The 22,265-nt window shown below is 46.3% G+C and overlaps 1 long non-coding RNA gene across 1 annotated transcript; it reads right to left on the bottom strand.

The window, feature by feature from the left end:
* Positions 1 to 3,457: 3,457 nt before the first annotated feature.
* On the bottom strand, positions 3,458 to 21,916 carry LOC105376863 (uncharacterized). Its single transcript, XR_947072.3, has 3 exons — positions 21,858 to 21,916; positions 8,672 to 8,766; positions 3,458 to 3,555 (listed from the first exon to the last, which is right to left on the bottom strand). It is a non-coding gene; the product is annotated as an uncharacterized LOC105376863 (long non-coding RNA).
* Between the last annotated feature and the right edge of the window lie 349 nt (positions 21,917 to 22,265).

The raw sequence follows: 22,265 nt of genomic DNA, 5'->3' as shown, positions 1-22,265 counted from the left end.
CGTCTGGGATGTGAGGAGCCCCTCTGCCTGGCTGCCCAGTCTGGAAAGTGAGGAGCGTCTCTGCCCAGCCGCCATCCCATCTAGGAAGTGAGGAGCGCCTCTTCCCGGCCGCCATCACATCTAGGAAGTGAGGAGCGTCTCTGCCCGGCCGCCCATCGTCTGAGATGTGGGGAGCGCCTCTGCCCTGTCGCCCCGTCCGGGATGTGAGGAGCGTCTCTCCCCGGCCGCCCCGTCTGAGAAGTGAGGAGACCCTCTGCCTGGCAACCGCCCTGTCTGAGAAGTGAGGAGCCCCTCCGCCCGGCAGCCACCCTGTCTGGGAAGTGAGGAGCGTCTCCGCCCGGCAGCCGCCCCGTCCGGGAGGGAGGTGGGGGGGTCAGCCCCCCGCCCGGCCAGCCGCCCCGTCCGGGAGGTGAGGGGCGCCTCTGCCCGGCCGCCCCTACTGGGAAGTGAGGAGCCCCTCTGCCCGGCCACCACCCCATCTGGGAGGTGTGCCCAACAGCTCATTGAGAACGGGCCAGGATGACAATGGCGGCTTTGTGGAATAGAAAGGCGGGAAAGGTGGGGAAAAGATTGAGAAATCGGATGGTTGCCGTGTCTGTGTAGAAAGAAGTAGACATGGGAGACTTTTCATTTTGTTCTGTACTAAGAAAACTTCTTCTCCCGTGGGATCCTGTTGATCTGTGACCTTATCCCCAACCCTGTGCTCTCTGAAACATGTGCTGTGTCCACTCAGGGTTAAATGGATTAAGGGCGGTGCAAGATGTGCTTTGTTAAACAGATGCTTGAAGGCAGCATGCTCCTTAAGAGTCATCACCACTCCCTAATCTCAAGTACCCAGGGACACAAACACTGCGGAAGGCCGCAGGGTCCTCTGCCTAGGAAAACCAGAGACCTTTGTTCACTTGTTTATCTGCTGACCTTCCCTCCACTATTGTCCTGTGACCCTGCCAAATCCCCCTCTGCAAGAAACACCCAAGAATGATCAATAAAAAAAAAATAATAATAAAATTTAAAAAATAAAAAATAAAAAAAAAGGATTTTGGAAATAGTGGTGATGGTTACACAATATTGTGCATGTAACTAACATCATTGAACTGCACACTTAAAAATGATTAAAACAAAAAGAGTTCTGTTACGTGTGATCCTTTGCCACAAAAAAAAAAAAAAAAAAAAAATGACAAAAGCCAGCTCATGAGTTGTAAGATATTTTTCAAGCAGCTGGTCAGCTAAACAAGTTTCCCCACCTTAATTTAACCAGAGAAAAATGCCTTATGTCACGAATCTTGAAGCCACCATGATGAGTGATGTTATAAAACTGGAAGTGGCTGATGATTATAGAAAACTGTCGGCCGGGCACAGTGGCTCATGCCTGTAATACTAGCACTTTGGGAGGCAGAGGTGGGCGATCACTTGAGGTCAGGAGTTCGAGACCAGCCTGGCCGACATGATGAACTCCCATCTCTACTAAAAATATTTTGAAAAATTAGCTGGGCGTGGTGGTGGACGCCTGTAATCCCAGCTACTCGGGAGGCTGAGACAGGAGAGTCACTTGAACCTGGGAGACGGAAGTTGCAGTGAGCTGAGATCACACCATTGCACTCCAGCCTGAACAACAAGAGTGAAACTCTATCTCAAAAAAAGAAAGAAAAGAAAAGAAAAGAAAACTGTCCACTGTCTGAAGACACAGGTTTATTCAGGAAATCTCTGGTTTATTTTGATTATTGCTTCACTCCTGCAACCTTGCTGCAATAAAGCCCACATGTGAGATATAAAGAACATTTGAGTTTGCCACTACAGAAACGACACAAATATCCAACTTTAGAGGTTATCTGGGCAAACTGTTACACCACCACATCTTATAATATTATATAAGCACTAAAAAATCATGAAGCAAGGCCAGGCACTGTGGCTCACGTCTGTAATCCCAGCATTTTGGGAGGGCAAGGCAGGTGGATCACTTGAGGTCAGGAGTTCAAGAACAGCCTAGCCAAAATGGTGAAACCTCATCTCTACTAAAAATACATAAATTAACCACACGTGGTGGCGTGCACCTGTAATCCCAGCTACTAAGAAGGTTGAGGCAGGAGAATCACTTAAACCCAGGAGGTGGAGGTTGCAGTGAGCTAAGATTGTGCCATTGCACTCCAGCCTAGGTGACAGAGCAAGACTCTGTCTCAAAAAAAAAAAAAAAATTATGAAGCAGAAATCTATTTATTGACATGATGAGTAAACCTATAAAAAGATGCTTTTTATATGCTTATTGAAAATCAAAGAAATATATATTTAAACCTAAAGATATGTAATTTCTGAGATTATCTGTAGTAAAAAAAATCTAAGCCAGGCACAGTGGCTCATGCCCATAATCCCAACATTTTGGGAGGCTGAGGTGGGAGGATCACTTGAGCCTGGGAATTTGAAATCAGCCTGGGCAACATAGCAAGATGACGTCGCTACAAAAAAAAAAATTAACTAGGGATGGTGGTGCACACCTGTAGTCTAGCTACTTGGGAGGCTGAGGTAGGAGGATCACAGAGCCCAGAGGTCAAGGCTGAAGTGGGCTATGATCATGCCACTGCACTCCAGCTTGAGCAATAGAGCAAGATCCTGACTCAAAAAAAAAAATAAACAAAAATTTGAAAATAAGCCAGGTGTGGTGGCACATGCCTGTAGTCCCAGCTACTCGGGAAGCTGAGGCAGGAGAATCACTTGAACCTGGGAGGCAGAGGTTGCAGTGAGCTGAGATCGTGCCACTGCATTCCAGCCTGGGTCTCAGAGCGAGACTCTGTTTCAAAAAAACAAACAAAAAGCTTTATTTAGGGCTGGGTGCCATGGCTCATGCCTGCAGTCCCAGCACTTTGGGAGGCTGAGGTGGGCAAATTACCTGAGGTCAGGCATTTGAGATAAGCCAGGCGGATCACAAGGTCAGGCATTTGAGACCAGCCTGGACGACATGGTGAAAACCCACCTCTACTTAAAAAAAAAAAAAAAAAAAAAAAAAGGCCGGGCGTGGTGGCTCACACCTGTAATTCCAGCACTTTGGGAAGCCAAGGCGGGCGGATCACAAGGTCAGGAGTTCGAGACCAGCCTGGCCAACATGGGGAAACCCCACCTCTACTGAAAATACAAAAATTAGCTGGGCGTGGTGGCAGGCGCCTATAATCCCAACTACTCGGGAGGCTGAGGCAGGAGAATCGCTTGAAACCAGAAGGCAGAGGTTGCAGTGAGCCAAGATCATGCCTCTGCATGCCAGCCTGGGCAACGAGAGCAAAACTCTGTCTCAAAAAAATAAATAAAAAATAAGGCCAGGCGTGGTGGCTCACATCTGTAATCCCAGCACTTTGGGAGGCTGAGGCAGGTGGATCACCTGAGGTCAAGAGTTCGAGACCAGCCTGACCAACATGGTGAAACCCCATCTATACTAAAAATACAAAAAGTAGCCGGGACTGGTGGCGCATACCTGTAATCCCAGATACTCGGGAGGCTGATGCAGGAGAATCGCTTGAACTCAGGAGGCAGAGGTTGCAGTGAGCTGAGATCACTCCATTGCACTCCAGCCTGGGCAACAAGAGCAAAACTCCATTTCAAAAAAATAAAATATAGGAACCACCTAAATGCCCATCAATTGGGGAATGGTTGAATAAATTATGGTACACCCATACTATGGAACAGTACAAAGATATTTTAAAATAAAATAGATCTAGGCCATGAGCGGTGGCTCATGCCTGTAATCCCAGCACTTTGGGAGGCCAAGGCAGGGGGATCACCTGAGGTCAGGAATTCAAGACCAGCCTGGCCAACATGGCAAAACCCCGTCTCTACTAAAAGTACGAAAATTAGCCAAGTGTGGTGGCGCACACCTGTAATCCCAGCTATTCTGGAGGCTGAGGCAGGGAGAATCACTTGAACCTGGGAGGCGGAGGTTACAGTGAGCTGAGATCGAGCCATTGCACTCCAGCCTGGGTGACAGAGCGAGACTCCATCTCAAAAAATAAATAAATAAAATAGATCTATTTATATATTTACAAGGAAAAGTATCTACTATATACAGCGAATTATTTTTAAAGCCTCTGAATAACATGTATAGACAAGCTTCTCCCCTTACATTTCAATGTCTACAGTCACAGAAAAAAAGAATGTCAACTCTTCCCTCCACCAACAGATGGCATTAGCTATAATGAATGGTCTTTGTGAACTACATACAATTCAACAATGTTGCTGTTCTTGTGTCCAAGTAATGTTTCACATATTATCAACCCCATAGTAGCCAAAGAAGAATAAAGCCAGGGAGAATTCTGAACATGCAAACAATTGTATAAGAAACAAACATAGAAATAATATTTACTTTGTGGAGGAGATTGCCACAGTGGGAACAGATGGAGATCTCACTCTGTCACCCAGCCTGGAGTGCAGTGGCACAATCATGGCTCACTGCACCCTTGAACTCCTAGGCTCAAGCAATCCTCCCACCTCAGCCTCCTGAAGAAGCTATAAGCGGGTACCATCACACCCGGCTAATTTTATTATTAATTTTGTAGAGACAGAGTCTCACTGTGTTGCCCAAGCTGGTCTTGAACTCCTGGCCTCAAATGATCCTCTGGCTTCAGCTTCGCAAAGCACTGGGATTATAGGCATGAGCTACTGTACCCGGCCAGGAACAGTTTTAAAGGACAAAAAAAGGCCGGGCACCGTAACTCACGCCTGTAATCCCAGTACTTTGGGAGGCCGAGGCAGGGGGACTGCCTGAAGTCAAGAGTTTGAGACTAGTCTGGCCAACATGGTGAAACCCCATCTCTACTAAAAATGCAAAAAAAATTAACCAGACCTGTTGGCATGCGACTGTAATCCCAGCTACTCGAGAGGCTGAGGCAGGGGAATTGCTTGAACCAGGGAGGCGGAGGTTGCAGCGAACCGAGATAGCACCACTGCCCTCCAGCCTGGGTGACAGAGCAAGACTCCATCTCTAATAAATAAATAAATAAATGGACAAAAAGATAAAGCATGTAGCACAGGAAAAGAAGAAGGAAAACAGAATGATAAAATGGAAAAAAAAATCAGTTTATGGCTAAATAATCAGAATCAAATTGGACCTCTATCAGCTTATTTGTCTGGAAATAAGTAGTGAGGAAGAGTCAAAGTTTAGGCCTGAATTTAGATCAGCCCTCATGAATTCAAGGAGACAGAGGGATATGAGCCCCAGAACCAAAAGCCCCCCTTCACCCCAGGTCACCCCAGGAACTGTGGCTGCTTCCCTTTGCCTGCCACTCCTCCGAGCAGCTCCACTGCCTAAGGTTCCACCTCAACCTCTTAGAAAGAAGAGACCCTGAGATCAAGTAGTCTTGCTACATTGATCCCACAGCCTGGGGGTTGGAGAAGAAGGAAGAGTGACAGATGTTCCTGCTTGCTTCACCCTTGCAGAGCTTTTGTATTGCCAGTGTCAGTCACCCCACAAATACTTAATCCTGAAGAAAGTGAAGGTTTGTCCTAAAAGAACTCCAGCAAAAGGCAAGGCAGAACCAAACCAAACCAAACAGGTCCTGGTCAAACAGGCAGTTTTCCAAATATATCCAAAAAATCTAAATATGTCAATACATTTTTAAAAACTAGCTGGGCGCGGTGGCTCACGCCTGTAATCCCAGCACTTTGGGAGGCTGAGGCAGGCGAATCACAAGGTCAGGTGTTCGAGACCAGCCTGGCCAACATGGTGAAACCCCATCTCTACTAAAAACAGAAAAAAATTAGCCAGGCATAGTGGCGGGCGCCTGTAATCTCAGCTACTCAGCAGGCTGAGGCAAGAGAATAGCTTGAACCTGGGATGCGAAGGTTGCAGTGAGCCGAGATCACTCCACTGCACTCCAGCCTGGGCAACAGAACAAGACTCCATCTCAAAACAAAAACAAAAACAAAAACAAAAAAACAGAAACACTTTCTTCCAGACCGTCCACCATCCCCACCACAGCCCTCTACCCCAGGCACAACTACCTACCTCCCAGACACAGGTTTAAGACAGCCTCAATCTGGCTGAGTGAATTGACTCACACCTATATAGTCCCAGCACTTTGGGAGGTCAAGGCGGGAGGATCACTTGAGCCCAGGAGTTCGAGACTAGCCTGGGCAACATAGAGAGATCTTGTCTTTACAAATAAAAAAATTTTAAAAATGGTTTTTTTTTTAATAGCGCGGTGGCTCACGCCTGTAATCCTAGCACTTTGGGAGGCCGAGGTGGGCAGATTGCCAGAGCTCAGGAGTTCAAGACCAGCCTGGACAATATGGTGAAACCCTGTCTCTACTAAAAATACAAAAATGTAGCCAGACATGGTGGCACAAGCCTGTAGTCCCAGCTACTCAGGAGGCTGAGGTGTGAGAATCGCTTGAACCCGGGAGATGGAAGTGAGCCTAGATCGCGCCACTTCACTCCATCCTGGGTGACAGCGAGACTCTGTCTCCAAAAAAAAAAAAAAAAAAAATAGCCAGGCATGGTGGTGCACACCTGTAATCCCAGCTACTCAGGAGGTTGAGGCAAAAAGGATTGCTGAAGCCCAGGAGGTTGAGGCTGCCGTGAACCGTGTCTGTGCCACTGCACTGTAGCCTGAGCAACAGAGTAAGATTCTGTCTCTAAAAAGAAAAAGGAAGAAAGAAAAGACAGCTTCAATCAGAGAGGAAGTAGAGGCAAACAGAAGAAGGATGGCCTCATTTTGATTTTCTGTTGGTTCTGGAATCTGCTTCCCTCTGGCTTCCACAGTTTCTCCCCGGTTGACTTTCAGGAAAGGAGGTAGCAATCCAAACCAGTTCATCATCTAAAATTTGGGGGCTCACTGCTTCTTTTAAAATTAAGGTTGAAGTATAATTTACATACAGAAAAATGCACAGGACTTGAGTGTACAGTTTGATGAGTTTTGACAAACATATGCAACAGTGAAACCAATATCCTCAACAAGATTTAGGCCATTTTAATCAACCCAAACGTTTCCTCCATGCCACACACCAGTCAATCCCCTTCAGAGGCAACCATTGTTCTAATTTTCACAACCACAAATTAGTTTCTACCTGTTCTCACACTTCATATGAAAGGAATCACTCAGTATTGCTCTCTTGTATCTTGCTTCTTTCACTCAATCTTTTTTTTTTTTTTTTTAAACAGGGTCTCACTCTAGTGCCCAGGCTGGAGTACAGTGGCGTGATCTCGGCTCACTGCAACCTCCGCCTCCCGGGTTCAAGTGATTCTCCTGCCTCAGCCTCCCAAGTAGCTGGGATTACAGGTGCCCACCACCATGACCGGCTAATTTTTATATTTTTAGTAGAGACGGGGTTTCACCACGTTGGCCAGGCTGGTCTTGAACTCCTGACGTCAGGTGATCTGCCCTCCTCGGCCTCCCAAAGTGCTGGAATTATAGGTGTGAGCTACCACGCCCAGCCTAAATCCTAAAAGTATTTTAAAATCTAAAAATATGGGAGGCCAAGGCAGGTGGATCACTTGAGCCTATTAGTTCAAGACTAGCCTGGGCAATGTAGTAAGACCTCATCTGTGCTAAAAAAAAAAAAAAAAAATTTAACTTTTTAAAAAATGGCAAGTAACACTGGTGTCTGTAAAAAGAAGAAATCTAAAAATAAAAAAGTTTACTTTCAAAGAAAGGTTGGAGGTGGCTAAACAGATCTAGCTAAAGCCTTTGTGTCAGGTAAGTACCATTTGCTTCTGGGGAACCCCAATTCTTTTAGCATGTACCCCACTCCACTTATCTGGAAAAAAATCTGGAGCAACAATGCTTGACCTCAACCCAAAGTTATAGAAGGAAACATAATTGACTTCAAATAATATAGCAAACTTTAAGTCCACATATAAAAATTGACTGTTGTCCAGACACAGTGGCTGACGCCTATAATCTCAGCACTTTGGGAGGCCGAGGTAGGAGGGTCACTTGAGTCTACAAGTTTCAGACCAGCCTGGGCAACATAGCAAGACCCTATCTCAACAAAATTTTTTTTTTTAATTAAGCGAGTATGGTGGGGGGAGCCTGCAGTCCCAGCTACTTGGGAGGCTGAAGTAGGTGTATTGCATGAGCGCAGGAGGTCAAAGCTACAGTGAGTTGTGATCATGCCACTGCACTTCAGCCTGGGCAACAAAGCAAAGACCTTGTTTCAAATTTTTTTTTTTGAGACAGAGTCTCGCTCTGTCGCCCAGGCTGGAGTGCAGTGGCATGATCTTGGCTCACTGCAAGCTCTGCCTCCCAGGTTCACACCATTCTCCTGCCTCAGCCTCCCAAGTAGCTGGGACTACAGGTGCCCACCAACACACCCAGCTAATTTTTTCTATTTTTTAGTAGAGACGGGGTTTCACCGTGTTAGCCAGGATGGTCTCCATCTCCTGACCTCATGATCCACCCACCTCGGCCTCCCAAAGTGCTGGGATTACAGGCGTGAGCCTCCGTGCCCGGCCTCAAAATATTTATATAAATTTACTGTCACTCAAAATCTAGGTTTGAAATTCACTCTTGGTCACTAAAGGGGCAGGTGCAGAGTTTTTCTGTCCTGGGTCCTCAGCCTCGTGCCCCATTTCTAGCTCTCTTCCCTGCCCCTCTGCCACCCCACTCCTACCCCCACATGGGACTGCTGCTGTGGAATATGCTTTCTCAATTTCCCAAAAGTCTGAGGTCATCCAAAGAGCCCCCTTACTTACTTAGCAAGTACAGGAGAAGCCTTGCAAATCATTTTTTATTTGCTAGAATTTTCTTTTCACCATTTTTTTCTCCTCTCAAAAGGAAACTTTCCATCCTGCAGGAAGAAGACAAAATAATTATCTCATTCACGTGGTCAATGATAATGACTGTGATAAATGGTCCCAATAAAGAGATTCTTGGGTGAACAGGGATCTCCAAGCATTGCCACGATAGTACACAGAGAGTTTTATCTGTGGTTTATGTACACAAATAAGTTCTGATTGACAGAAAGACTGTGGACTCAACAGCTGACATGTAAAAGGGCAGGATGAGGCCAGGCGTGGTGGCTCATGCCTGTAATCCCAGCACTTTGGGAGGCCGAGGCGGGCAGATCACCTGAGGTCAGGAATTCAAGACCAGCCTGACCAACATGGTGAAACCCCATCACTACTAAAAACACAAAATTAAGCAGGTGTGGTGGCGCATGTCTATGAGCCCAGCTACTTGGGAGGCTGAGGCAGGAGAATCACTTGAACCCAGGAGGCTGAGGTTGCAGTGAGCTGAGATCACACCATTGCACTCCAGCCTGGGCTACAAGGTGAAACTCTATCTCAAAAAAAGAAAAAAAAAAGAGCAGGATGCCAAATGAGCAGGATGCCTCCTTTCTGGGTCTCCTGCCCCCCTTGTATGTCTGCAGGACTACTCGGGGAGGTGACTCCCATGCTCTCTGCCCACATCAATTTGCTTCAGGCTGTACACTTGGCTGTCTCTCTTGGACAAAAACCACCATGTGCCCCAGTTGTGGTCCCTAATATATCCTCAATGCTGGCCAGACCACTCCTGCTCATAGGTCACCGCTCCACCCTGTCACCATCACCTGATTGGATACCAGTTCTCCTCTGATTCACCCCTCATGCATGCTGCAGCTTTGAGTTGCCCAGGAGGGCCATTTCTAACCCCTGAGCAACTGTCAAAGAAAAACAAGCCAGACACTAGTTAAAGCAGTGAAAACAGATTATATGCAGTAATGAGGGGCAGTAGGGAAAGGAGCTGAGCTCTCTTCTGGTTTACCCAGAGGTGACAGCATTTTAAAGGGAGAATGGGAGTGGGAGTGGGAGTGGGAGTGGGTGGAGGCAAGCAGGGACTAAAGGGAAAAATGATCAAGTGAAAATGCAGTCGGCCAGCTGTGTCTGCTAGCTGGTGATCAACAAGGTCGGGATTCTGTCCTCCCACAGAGACTGGGAGACAGAGGCCCTCCTGATAATCACATTTCAAAGGAATGGCTTTCAGGTCTTTGAGAAAGGTAAGTTGTAGGAGATAGACACACATCTCAAAGGGGCAGAGGAAGGAGTCTCAATAGGAAGCCCTTTGCATGAATGCTTTGCAAAAGGGAGGTCAGGGGTCTATGTTAGGTGCTGGCTGCAACAAACAGTTAATTCTTTTGACAGCCCGGAGATTTTACAGACAGGAACTTAAAAGGGGGCTGGATGGTCCCAGAGATGCCACCTTAGGCTGCTAGAAGCCATGCTAGGGCTGGTCAAATCTCTTAGCACAGGAGTTTGGAGTCATTAGGTGAAAAGAGTTCTTGCAGTTCTCACTACCATCACACCAGACCCAGAACCCAACCAGGGCCACTGACCTTGCCCTTGCTATTTGCCTGCCTGCCAACAACCTCTGTTCTTGTCCATGAGCTGCCAACAGCCTCACCAATAATTGCTACTTACATATTTGACTCTGCAGCTCACAGTCTGCTGCTGGCGGAGGAAGGACTCAACTTCCTTCACAGCTTGGACTCCTGGTGCTACAGCTTCATCAACTTTTATGCCTAGATTAGTTTACTTCCCCAGTGCAACCATGAGCCACCACCTGGAGGTCCCAGTTATAGCCACACCCCGTGCAAAGAGCCACTGCCTACATCCCACCCAAGGCCCCACGTCTGAGCCTAGCATGGTGTATTCCTTCTTCTCCATTGTCGCCTCTCTCTCTGGAACACAATTGCACCTACGGTGTGGTTCCATCCCCCACCAAACATGCCCAGGTAAATTTGAACCCCAAGTGAGGGCAAAGCTCACATTTTTCACCTGGTGCTCCTAAACCTGTGTAAATAAACAGTTCTAACCATGCAGCCGGAAGCTATTTTATACTGTTATCTAATGTGGGCTTTGTTCCTGAATCTTTCCGCCCATTTGGGAAGCAGGTAGGACATTTGAAGCTCATTCCCTCAGGAAGTGATGGGGGATACAGCAGAACAAAGAGTCCATTCTTAGCTTTTGAGTTTCAAATAGACCTTTGAAATTTATGCCAGAGAGCATATTTGTGGGGGGAAATAGGGGCAGGAGTTGAATTTTTAAATCTAAAGCCTAGGCCAGGGGCAGTGGCTCACATCTGTAATCCCAGAGCTTTGGGAAGCCAAGGAGAGGATCACTTAAATCCAGGAGTTTTGAGACCAGCCCGGGCAATATAGTGAGACTCTGTTTCTACAAAAAGTAAACAAAAATTCACCAGGCATTTGTGGAGTACCTACAGTCCTAGCTATTTAGGAGGCTGAAGTTGGAGGATCACTTGAGATGGAGAGTTTGAGGCTGCATGAGCCATGATCGCGCCACTGCACTCCAACGGCGACACATTGAGATCCTGACTCATAAAATAAAATAAAATCTGGCGGGGTCCAGTGGCTCATGCCTGTAATCCCAGCACTTTGGGAGGCCGAGGCGAGCGGATCACCTGAGGTCAGGAATTCCAGACCATCCTGGCCAACATTGTGAAACCCCATCTCTACTAAAAATACAAAAATTAACCAGATGTGGTGTCACTCGCCTGAAATTCCAGCTACTCGGGAGGCTGAGGTGGGAGAATTGCTTGAACCCGGGAGGTGGAGGTTGCAGTAAGCCAAGATGGACTCCAGCCTGGGTGACAGAGTGAGGATCCATCTCAAAAAAAATAAAATAAAATAAAATCTAAAGCCTGATAAAAGTTTGTGTCTCAATAAATTCAGCGTGATGAAGTACAGCAATAGCAGCTTCAAGATTGAGAGGAGAGGGGCAAGTTGGGGAGGAGGGAGAGGGTTCTTAGGTGTGTCACTGAGAAGAGGCCCTGTTCCATGTCATGCTAGTTCCCTGGCCCATTCTCAAGGGTAAGAATGATGTCAGACCCCATCAAGTCTCACTGAGGATCCAAGAGCAGAGAAGACCAAAGGCGGATGTTCTGGGAGGCTCCTGCAGCTCAAGCTTTGGGCCCTTTACTTGCACCGGCCTCTTCCAAGGCTCTGGACCTAATTTCATATTAATGGCTTTTATTTTCTTTAGAGAAGACCCCTAGAACTGCTTCAGGATCTGCCCCTGAAGAGGCCCTCAGCCTCACTTTCTCAGAAAGAAGCCCAGGACACTAGCCTGTTGGACGTAAGACCACAAGGAGCAAAAACATACCCTGGCTGAGGCCCCAGATCAACCAGCTCCCAGCCAAACCCCCAGCCGACTGCAGTTGCAAGTGGTCTCGGCCAAGACCAGGAGAAGAACCATCCATCCCACCTCAAATAGCTGACCCACAGAATCATAAACAAATAAGACAGTGTTGTCATAAGCCACTAAATCCAAGAGTGTTTTGTTATACAGAAATAGATAACTGATGCAGTGAATTTGGACAAGTCATCAAAAAAAAAAAAGAATTTTTGGATGAGTCACTTTATTCACTCAAAATAATATTTACTGGGAAAAAAAGTGAAGGGCGGAAGAATACGCCACCCCAAAATATGCTATTTTGGCTTAAGAATTATTTTGAGTTAAAGGCATGAACACTGACATTTTTTCTTTCTGAAAGCAAATTCCCAGTGACAGTTGTTCTTTCAGGACAGGTGCAGTGGCTCACACCTGTAATCCCAACACTTTGGGAAGCCAAGGCAGGAGGATTGTTTGAGTCCAGGAGTTCAAGACCAGCCTCGGCAACATGGTGAAACCCCGTCTCTATTAAAAATACAAAAATTAGCTGGGCGTGGTGGCACATGCCTATCATCCCAGCCACAAGGGAGGCTGAGACACAAGAACTGCTTGAACCCAGGAGGCAGAGGTTGCAGCGAGCCAAGATTGTACCACTGCACTCCAGCCTGGGCCACACAACAAGACTTCATCTCAAAAAAAAAAAAAAAAGCTGGACACAGTGGCTCACACCTATAATCCCAGCACTTTGGGGTGCTGAGGCGGGCAGATCACTTGAGGTCAGGAGTTCGAGACCAGCCTGGCTCTCATGGTGAAACCCCATCTCTACTAAAAAAATACAAAAATGAGCTGGGCATGGTGGCGGGCACCTGTAATCCCAACTACTCGGGAGGCTGAGGAAGGAGAATCACTTGAACCTCGGAGGCAGAGGTTGCAGTGAGCTGAGATCGCACCACTGAACTCCGGCCTGGATGACAAGAGCGAGACTCCATCTCGAAAAAAAAAGAAAAAAAAATATCTTATGTTAGCAGGGCTCTCAAAGGCAAGCACTGAATATAACAACTGGAATGGAAAAACTGAAAGAAGCTCTTCTAGTACCTAAGCAAAGCCATCCTCAATCCTAAAGCTGGGGGGCCCTGGAGTACCCTCCCGAGAAGTCTTTCTTACCCAGGATTCAGTGTACACAAATTGAAAGACTGAGGGAATGAGTAGGTTTCCTAACTCAGTTCTCCATGCCAAAGTTCATCCTCCTACGGGCTGAGAGCAGGGTAGAACTATTTCAGGCCCAACGTCAACATCCTTGAGAAATTCTTATCTGGAAAGAGTGGGGAGGTCGCCATGGCAACCTGTCCCAGGCCCAGCCCTGGCACAGCTCCAAGGCACACAAATAAAACCATTGGAATGTGGTGCAGGGCTCAGGGCGGGATAACTAGAAAGTTGCCAAGTTTCCATGAAAACCAACAATGTGAGGCCTCAGCCTCTGGAAGATGTCAGTAGGGAAGCTTGGGTCCCCACAGGGTCTACCCATGGAAATATAACACATTCCTAAATAGCACATATGTGCGCGCACACAGCATCACACGCACACAGCCTGCTTGGACGACAGCGACACTGCTTCTTGAAAAAGAGCCTTGTTGAAAGGAGAGCACTGGCCTTAGAGCCAGACAGAGATTCCAGTACCCGCCCTGTCAATTCCTGGGAACCCCAGGTCAGTTTCTGAACAAGTTATCCTCGTGGCCACCTCCCTTGCCTTCTCCATGTCTTTGTTCCAAGGTCATCTCCATGAGACATTTCCTGGTTACTTTAATTATTTATGTATTTATTCTATTTATTTATTTATTTATTTTTCTTGAGATGGAGTCTCGCTCTGTCGCCCAGGCTGGAGTGCAATGGCACGATCTCGGCTCACTGCAACCTCCACCTCCAAGGTTCAAGCGATTCTCCTGCCTCAGCCTCCCAAGTAGCTAGGATTACAGGCATGTGCCACCATGCCCAGCTAATTTTGTATTTTTAGTAGAGGTGGAGTTTCACCATGTTGGCCAGGCTGATTTTGAACTCCTGACCTCAGATGATCCACCTGCCTTGGCCTCCCAAAGTGCTGGGATTACAGGCATGAGCCACCTTGCCCAGCCGCCCTAGTCACTTTAAATCAAATTGCAGGCTGGGCACAGTGGCTCACGCCTGTAATCCCAGCACTTTAGGAGGCCAAGGCGGGTGGATTGCTTGAGGTCAGGAGTTCAAGACCAGCCTGACCAACATGGTGAAACCCCGTCTCTACTAAAAGTACAAAAGTTAGCCGAGCATGGTGGTGCATGCCTGTAATCCTAGCTACTTGGGAAGCTGAGCAGGAGAATTGCTTGAACCTGGGAGGCTAAGGTTGCAGTGAGCCGAGATCATGCCACTGCACTCCAGCCTGGGTGACAGAGCAAGACTCTGTCTCAAAAAAAAAAAAAAAAAAAAAAAAAAAAACCAGAAAGAAATCAAATTGCAGCCTCACGCATCCCCCACGCTCCTACTCTTCTTTATTTTTCTCCATGCTCTTAGCACCACCTGACATGCTCTATATTTTACTTCCTTAACTTATTTATTACCTTGTTAATGTCACTTCCACAGGGACAGGGATTTTTGTCCCTTTTGCCCATGCTCTACCTCCAGCACCTAGAAAATACCTGGCATGTAGTAGGTGCACAAGGAAGATTGTTGAGTAAATGCATGTAGTTTTGTCATTAGCAAAATAGGAGTCATTCTACCACCATAGGGTTAATGTGAGGGTTGAAGGAGATGCTATGGCATTAGTGCCCAGTCCTTAGCAGGGGTACCAGTGTCACTTCTGGTTACATCCTGCATTTGGTGAGGTCCCCTCATCACCTTCCTGTAGTACTTAGATCACATTTAAGAACAATTTTCATGGTATCTTACTTTCTGCCTGGGAAGGGGTATACCTGACCCCTGAGCCCAAGAATTTATCTGTGTCCTCGTCCTGCAAAACCACTAGACATTAAGCTAGGTGCGGTGGCTCACACCTGTAATCCCAGCACTTTGGGAGGCTGAGGCAGGCGGATCACTTGAGGTCAGGAGTTCGAGACCAGCCTGGCCAACATGATGAAACCCCATTTCTACTAAAAATACAAAAATTAGCCAGGCATGGTGGTGGGCACCTGAAATCCCAGCTCCCCGGAAGGCTGAGGCAGGAGAATCACTTGAACCCAGGAGGCAGAGGTTGCGGTGAGCCACGATGGCACCATTGCACTCCAGCCTGGGCGACAGAGCAAGACCCTGTCTCAAAAAAACAAACAAATAAAACCACTAGACATTAAAGACAGCAGAATCAGAGATTCAGTCCACAGAGAATTTTGCTCTAAATATTTGTTAGGAGTCTGTGTAAATAAACTAACTCATTAATAGGAAAGCACATCTCCAAAAATATAAAGATTTGAACAAGCAGGAAATGTTTCACCAGTAAACAGAAAGAACAGATCATTTCTTGCATCCTTAACACATAACAGGTGGTGTATTAGGCACCTGACATGTCTTCTGTCATTTCCGTCTGTGTCAACCTTATAAGGAAGGTATTTAAGAATGAAGAAACTGGACAGGTGCGGTAGCTCACACCTGTAATCCTAGCACTTTGGGAGGCCGAAGCGGGTGGATTACTTGAGGTCAGGAGTTCAAAACCAGCCCGGCCAACATGGTGAAACCCCATCTCTAGTAAAAATACAAAAAAATTAGCCAGGCGTGGTGGCAGGCGCCTGTAATCCCAGCTACTTGGGAGGCTGAGGCAGGAGAATTGCTTGAACCTGGGAGACAGAGGTTGCAGTAAGCCAAGATTGTGCCACTGCACTCCAGCCTGGGCAACAGAGCAAGACTCTGTCTCAAAAAAAAAAAAGAAAAAAGGAATGAAGAACCGAGGCCTAGGTTAGGAAACTGGCCTGAAGTATCACAGCAGTAAGCAGTGCAGCAGGAGTTGAACCCAGAATCAATCAAGCTCCGAAGCTTGTGTTCTTCCTGTTGTCCCACCCACCTCTTTGAAAATTCATTTAATAAAAGGCCTCTCTGCCAAACTAAGGAGTTTGGATGTATTCTGTAAAATACATTCTAGATGCAATGCAATTCTAAAAATAAAAAAAGCAACTGAGGTGTAAGTATTTGGGATCTACTAAGGAAGGAGGAATTATTTCTTCCTGAGATAAATCAGAAAAGCTACGGAGAGGAGGTGGCACTTCCTCCCAGCCTAAATGCTTTAGGGACTCGTATTCCATTAACTCATCTTTCCAGAGTTCATCGCTGGCTTTTGGTTCTAACACATGACCATGAACAGCACTCTCTACTTATATGAGTTTTCCATCTTGTCATATTTTCAGCAGGTCATTCCTTTGGGATCCTTTATTTTTATTTATAGCCTTTTGCATCATCTGACTGCAAGAGTTTCGCATGTTCTGGCAACAGCCAGTATCTGGGGGATGGGAGTCTCCAAGCACTACAAATTTTTAAGAAAGAGGATATATGAATTTAAGGTAGCTTAAACTCTTCTAGAACATATAAAAAGATTAAGGAATAATGCCTTATAAATTTAATATAAATAAAATTAATATAATATAAATAAAATAGCATATAAATTATATATAATAAAATATAAATTTTATTTAATAAAAATAAAATTAATATAAATAAAATTTAATTTTAAAAATTAAAAAAAAAAAAGAAAGAGGGTATGGAAGTTTCTCCAGAACAGAAACCTGCAAAGTCTAAAATCAAGGGCTATATCTAAGCAGTGTGCTGGAGTCTGCTTGAATCAACCCTTATGTTGAGTTACTTCAGGTAGCTTGAAATTAGACAAGGTAGAGTTATTTACACCACAGAAATCGACAAATGCTATAAATCAAGATCTTTTTTTTCCCTCCTATGGAGCCAGTTGTTAAACATTTACCAGCACATAACTGGCTATACCAGGTCTCCTGAAGCCCTGTCTATTATAAAACAGCAGAAAGAATCCTGGATTTGAAGTCAGGAAACTTGAGTTTTAGCCTGGTGTCATTATTAACACACTGTAAACCTTAGACAAGTCATTTCACCTCTCTCGGCCTCAGTTTCTTTACCTAGGGGAATTGGCTACATTCAAAACCTAGGATCACCGGGTGATAAGTTATTTCCCAAAAAAGAAAACAGGTTGGAGGTTCTTCAAGCTGTTTTCGATATTTTAAAAAGAAAAAAGAAAACCATGCATTAATCCTCTCGTAAGTCCACAAAGGTTAACTTAATTAATAAACTGTGTTTAATGCCTAAAATCTTTCAAAATATGAAACTCATGGAGAAAAAGATAGTAAGAGGAGTCAGCCGTCTGTTCCCCTAAATCCAATGAATTGACCACCTGAAATGGGACAGTCACTGTTGGTCACTAATGTTTCAGTGCTAAAGAAAACACTGCCCTGCCCTTGAGGAATTTACAGATTCAGGAGGCAGACAGACAGGCAAGTGTGCATCATAATAAATGGAGTCTGTGTTCTGATGGGGTAAGAACTGGGCTTGAAGAGAGCATATAGCAGGGGCACTAACTGTTAGGAGGAGGCTTCTTGGGAGAAGGGACATCGAATGGGAATCAAAGCCCAGAGGTCCAGCCAGGTGTGATGGCTCATGCCTGTATTCCCAGCACTTTGGGAGGCCGAGGCGGGCAGATCACTTGAGTCCAGAAATTCGAGACCAGCCTGGCCAACATGGTGAAACCCCGTCTCTAATAAAAATACAAAAATTAGCTGAGTGTGGTGGCGGGCACCTGTGGTCCTAGCTACTCGGGAAGCTGAGGCAGGAGAATCTCTTGAACCCTGAAGTCAGAGGTTGCAGTGAGCCGAGATCACGCCACTGCACTCCAGCCTAGGCGACAGAGCCAGGCTCCATCTCATTAAAAAAAAAAAAAAAGCCCAGCGGTCAGACAGTAGGAGCAATGGGGGAGTTGCAATCATTGAGAGCAACAAAAAAAGTCTGGTACAAGTTGATGCTGGGAAGGCACATAGGGCCTTTTGTATCAGGTAAGGGAATTCAGAAGTTATATCTAGCGTCCTGGGAAGCCACTGAAAGGTGTGTGAACAGGTGAGTAATTTGAGCTTTAGAAAACTCATCCAGGCTGTTGTATGGAGCATAAATGGAAAGGAAACTCCACTGGAAGCTCAGAGACCAGTTTAGAGGCTCTTGCGGCAAAATCAGAGCCTGGTGACCTGGGGTGGAGAGTGGATGGAGGAGAGGATGCACTAGGGCTTCAGGAACAAAGTGCCACACACTAGGGGGCTGAAAACAGCAGAAATGTATTCTCTCACAGTTCTAGAGGCTAGACAGCCAAAATCAAAGTGTCAGAGGGCCTCCGCCCCCTCGAGACTCCAGGTGGAATCCTTCCTCCCCTCTTCTTAGCCATCTCATGCCACTTTCTGCCTGGGTCATCACATGGGGCATTCTCTGTCTGTGTCTTCAAGTTGTCTTTTGATAAGGACAACAATCATTGGATTAATGACCCACCCTACTCCATTATTACTGTCTTAGATTATTGGGGCTACCGTAACAAAATGCCACAGACTGGGTGGCTTATAAACAACAGAAATTTTTTCTCACAGTTCTGGAGTCTGAGAAGTTCAAGGTCAAGGTGGCAGGGCTGGGCATGGTGGCTCACACCTGTAATCCCAGTACTTTGGGAGGCCAAGGTGGGCAGATCACTTGAGGTCAGGAGTTTGAGACCAGCCTGGCCAACATGGTGAGAGTGTCTGTACTAAAAATACAAAAATTAGCCGGGTGTGGTGATGCACACCTACAGTCCCAGCTACTCGGGTGGCTGAGGCAGGAGATTCACTTGAACCGGGGAGGCAGAGGTGGCAGTGAGCCAAGATTGCGCCACTGCACCCCAGCCTAGGCAACAGAACAAGACCCTGTCTCAAAAGAGAAAAAAATAAAAAAAAGATCAAGGTGCCAGCAGATTTAGTGTCTGGTGAAAGCCTAATTTCTCACAGAGCCTTCTCACTGTGTCCTCACATGTTGGAAGGGGTCTATTTCATGAGGACACTAATCCCATTCTTGAGGGCTCCACCCTCATGATCCAATCACCTCCCAAAGGCCCCCTACCTCCTAATACCATCACCTTGGCCATCAGGCTCTCAACATATGCATGGTGAGAAGGTGACTATTCAGACTATAGCAATGACTTCACCTTAACTAATTATGTCTGCAACAATCCTATTTCCAAATACAATCACATTGTGTGATACTGGGGGTTAGGACGCAAACATAACTTTTTAGGGCCGGGCGCAGTGACTCACGCCTGTAATCCCAGTACTTTGGGAGGCTGCGGCGGACGGATCACCTGAGGTCAGAAGTTCAAGACCAGCCTGGCCAACATGGCAAAAGCCCATCTCTACTAAAAATATAAAAATTAGCCAGGCATGGTGGCAGACACCTGTAGTCCCAGCTACTCAGGGAGGTGTGAGCCACCGCACCCGGCCTCCAGGGCTCTCTATTAAAAAGAAATAAAGGCAGAGATTGCAGGGAGCCGAGATCGTGCCATTGCACTCCAACCTGGGCAACAGAGCATGACTCTGTCTCAGAAAAAAAAAAAAAAAAAAAGAAACAGAGAGAGAGTAGATTTGAGATAGGAAATAAGCAGTTGCTGTCATGGTCCTCCCTTTGACTGGCAACATTCAAACACATCGTCTTCCCATGAAGAAAATGCATTTGGAGGCCAGGCACAGTGGCTCACACCTGTAATCCCAGCACTTTGGAAGGCCGAGGTGGGTGGATCACTGGAGGTCAGGAGCTCAAGACCAGCCTGGCCAACGTGGTGAAACCCCGTTTCTACTAAAAATACAAAAATTAGCCAGGCATGGTGCCGCATGCCTGTAATCTCAGCTACTCAGGAGGCTGAGGCAGGAGAATCACTTGAACCGGGAGGTGGAGGTTGTAGTGACCTGAGATCGCACCACTGCACTCCATCCTGGGAGACAGAGCAAGACTCCGTCTCAAAAAAAAAAAAAAAAAGAAAGAAGAAAGAAAAAGGAAATGCATTTGGCCCTCCCCAAGGGATACAGCAATAAAGTTACATCCAGTTACTAAATCCAGCTCAAAGTCCAGGATCTCTAGAGGATTAGGGTCAGGATGTGGCTTCTCATGACTAGAGATCTGTAAGCTTAAAGACAATTTATCTCTCCCCAACAGGATAAGTGCAATAAAAACTCCCTTTGGGAAAAAAAGAACATGGCAAACACTCAGCTGTCTCTGGTCCATCGCACTTGTACAGTCCTGCAGGGCAGGAGTAGTGGGGACTCGCTATCCCTGCAGTAGAGTTCCTTGGCTGGTCAATCTACAGCCCTTAGTTTTGTTCTCTGGAAGGATTCTCCTTGCTTGCTATTCCCCATGGCTGCATCTGGGGAGGGCACTGTGGGGAAGGCCATTCCTAGAGGCTGAAGAGCTTTAGCAGACCTCTCCTGCCCATGTAGATCAGGCACCATCAACTGCCTTGGGGCCGAACAGTCACGGGCTGTGCTGAATGACACGGCTGAATGGGGCAGGCTCTTTGACAATCCAAACCTTCAAGATCTTAGTAGGCTTCATCTGTTTGCTTTAGTTTCATGAATGACCCACATCAAAAGATCTTATTTAGATAGAGCTTTTAAGTCTGAAGACCTTACTTTTACCTCTGTATTCTACCAGTCCTCTTCTCACATAATTTAAAAGTCTTTGTCTTGAGACAATTCAAGATGATAGATGGGTTTAATGCTGCCACCCTTTGAAATGTAATTATTATCGGCTGGACGTGATGGCTCATGCTTGTAATCCCAGCATTTTGGGAGGCTAAGGCAGGCAGATCACTTGAGATCAGGGGTTCAAGACCAGCTTGGCCAACATGGTGAAACCCCGTGTCTACTGAAAATACAAAAAATTAGCCGGGCATGGTGGTGTGTGATCCCAGCTACTTGGGAGGCTGAGGCAGGAGAATTGCTTGAACTCCGGAGGCAGAGGTTGCAGTGAGCTGAGATTATACTCCATCTCAAAAAAAAAAAAAAAAAAAAAAAAGAGCTTGAGACCAGCATGGGCAACATGGAAAACAGTTGTCTCTACTAAAAATACAAAAGAATTAGCTGGGCATGGTGGCACACGCCTGTAGTCTCAACTACTCAGGAGGCTGCGACACAAGAATCGCTTCAACCCAGGAGGCAGAGGTTGCAGTGAGCCAAGATCGCACCACTGCACTCCAACCCAAGCAACAGAGCAAGACTCTGTCTCGGAAAGGAAAGGAAAGGAAAGGAAAGGAAAGGGAAGGGGAAGGAAATGAAATGAAACGAAACGAGGGGAGGGGAGGGGAGGAGGAGAGGGGAGAAGAGGGGAGAGGAGAGGAGAGGAGAGGAGAGGAGAGGAGAGGAGAGGAGAGGAGAGGAGAAAAACTGATCTGATAGAAAAACTACTGCTTCTGCTGCCACTACCACCACCAAGCACTAATGCCACTATTTCACTTGGACCAGGATCAACTCAGCTTGCAATTACTTCAGCTTTGAAAGCCATTCACCTCTGCCACCACCCTTACCAGGAAAATGATTTTCACTAACACTGAGTTCACTATGGGCCCGTGCTGTGCCAAGTGGTTCCGTGTGCTTTATTTCATTTAACCCTCCCTCTCTTCCTTCAGGTCTCGGCTCAAATGGCACCTCCCCTTTGAACCTCCCTCATGGTGGAGTGCCCCCTTTATTCTCTATCCTAAACCCTTCACAGAACATATATCAATGTATAATTATTTTATTCCACTTACTTTTAGTTGAATGAATGTTGAACGCCAGTAACCACTCTCCAAGGTGATTGCCGTTATCTTATTTTACATCTAAGAAAAGTTAAGTTCAGAGATTAAGTTCTATAATTAGCTCAGAGATTAAATACTATAATTTGCTGAAGATTGCACAGCTAGTAAGTGGCACACCTGACACAGGAACCCAGACATACCTGACTCTAAAGCCCATGTTCTTAATAATACCACTTCTGAAAACCTTCAACAAATGAGAGGAATAGCCAGGAATTGGGGAGAGGGAAGAACAGACAGGAGTATATCTGGGTCATAGCAGAGTTGAAAGACCAAGGGGCTTTATACTAGAAATGGTTCAGAAGTAGCCCTGAAAAGCAAAGAGGAATCCTTACCCACTTCCTGATCCCAGGTATTTGAGAA

This window comes from Homo sapiens, chromosome 1 (assembly GCF_000001405.40).
Source record: "Homo sapiens chromosome 1, GRCh38.p14 Primary Assembly".
Lineage (NCBI taxonomy): Eukaryota > Metazoa > Chordata > Mammalia > Primates > Hominidae > Homo > Homo sapiens.
This window is presented reverse-complemented; position numbering and strand designations above follow the sequence as displayed.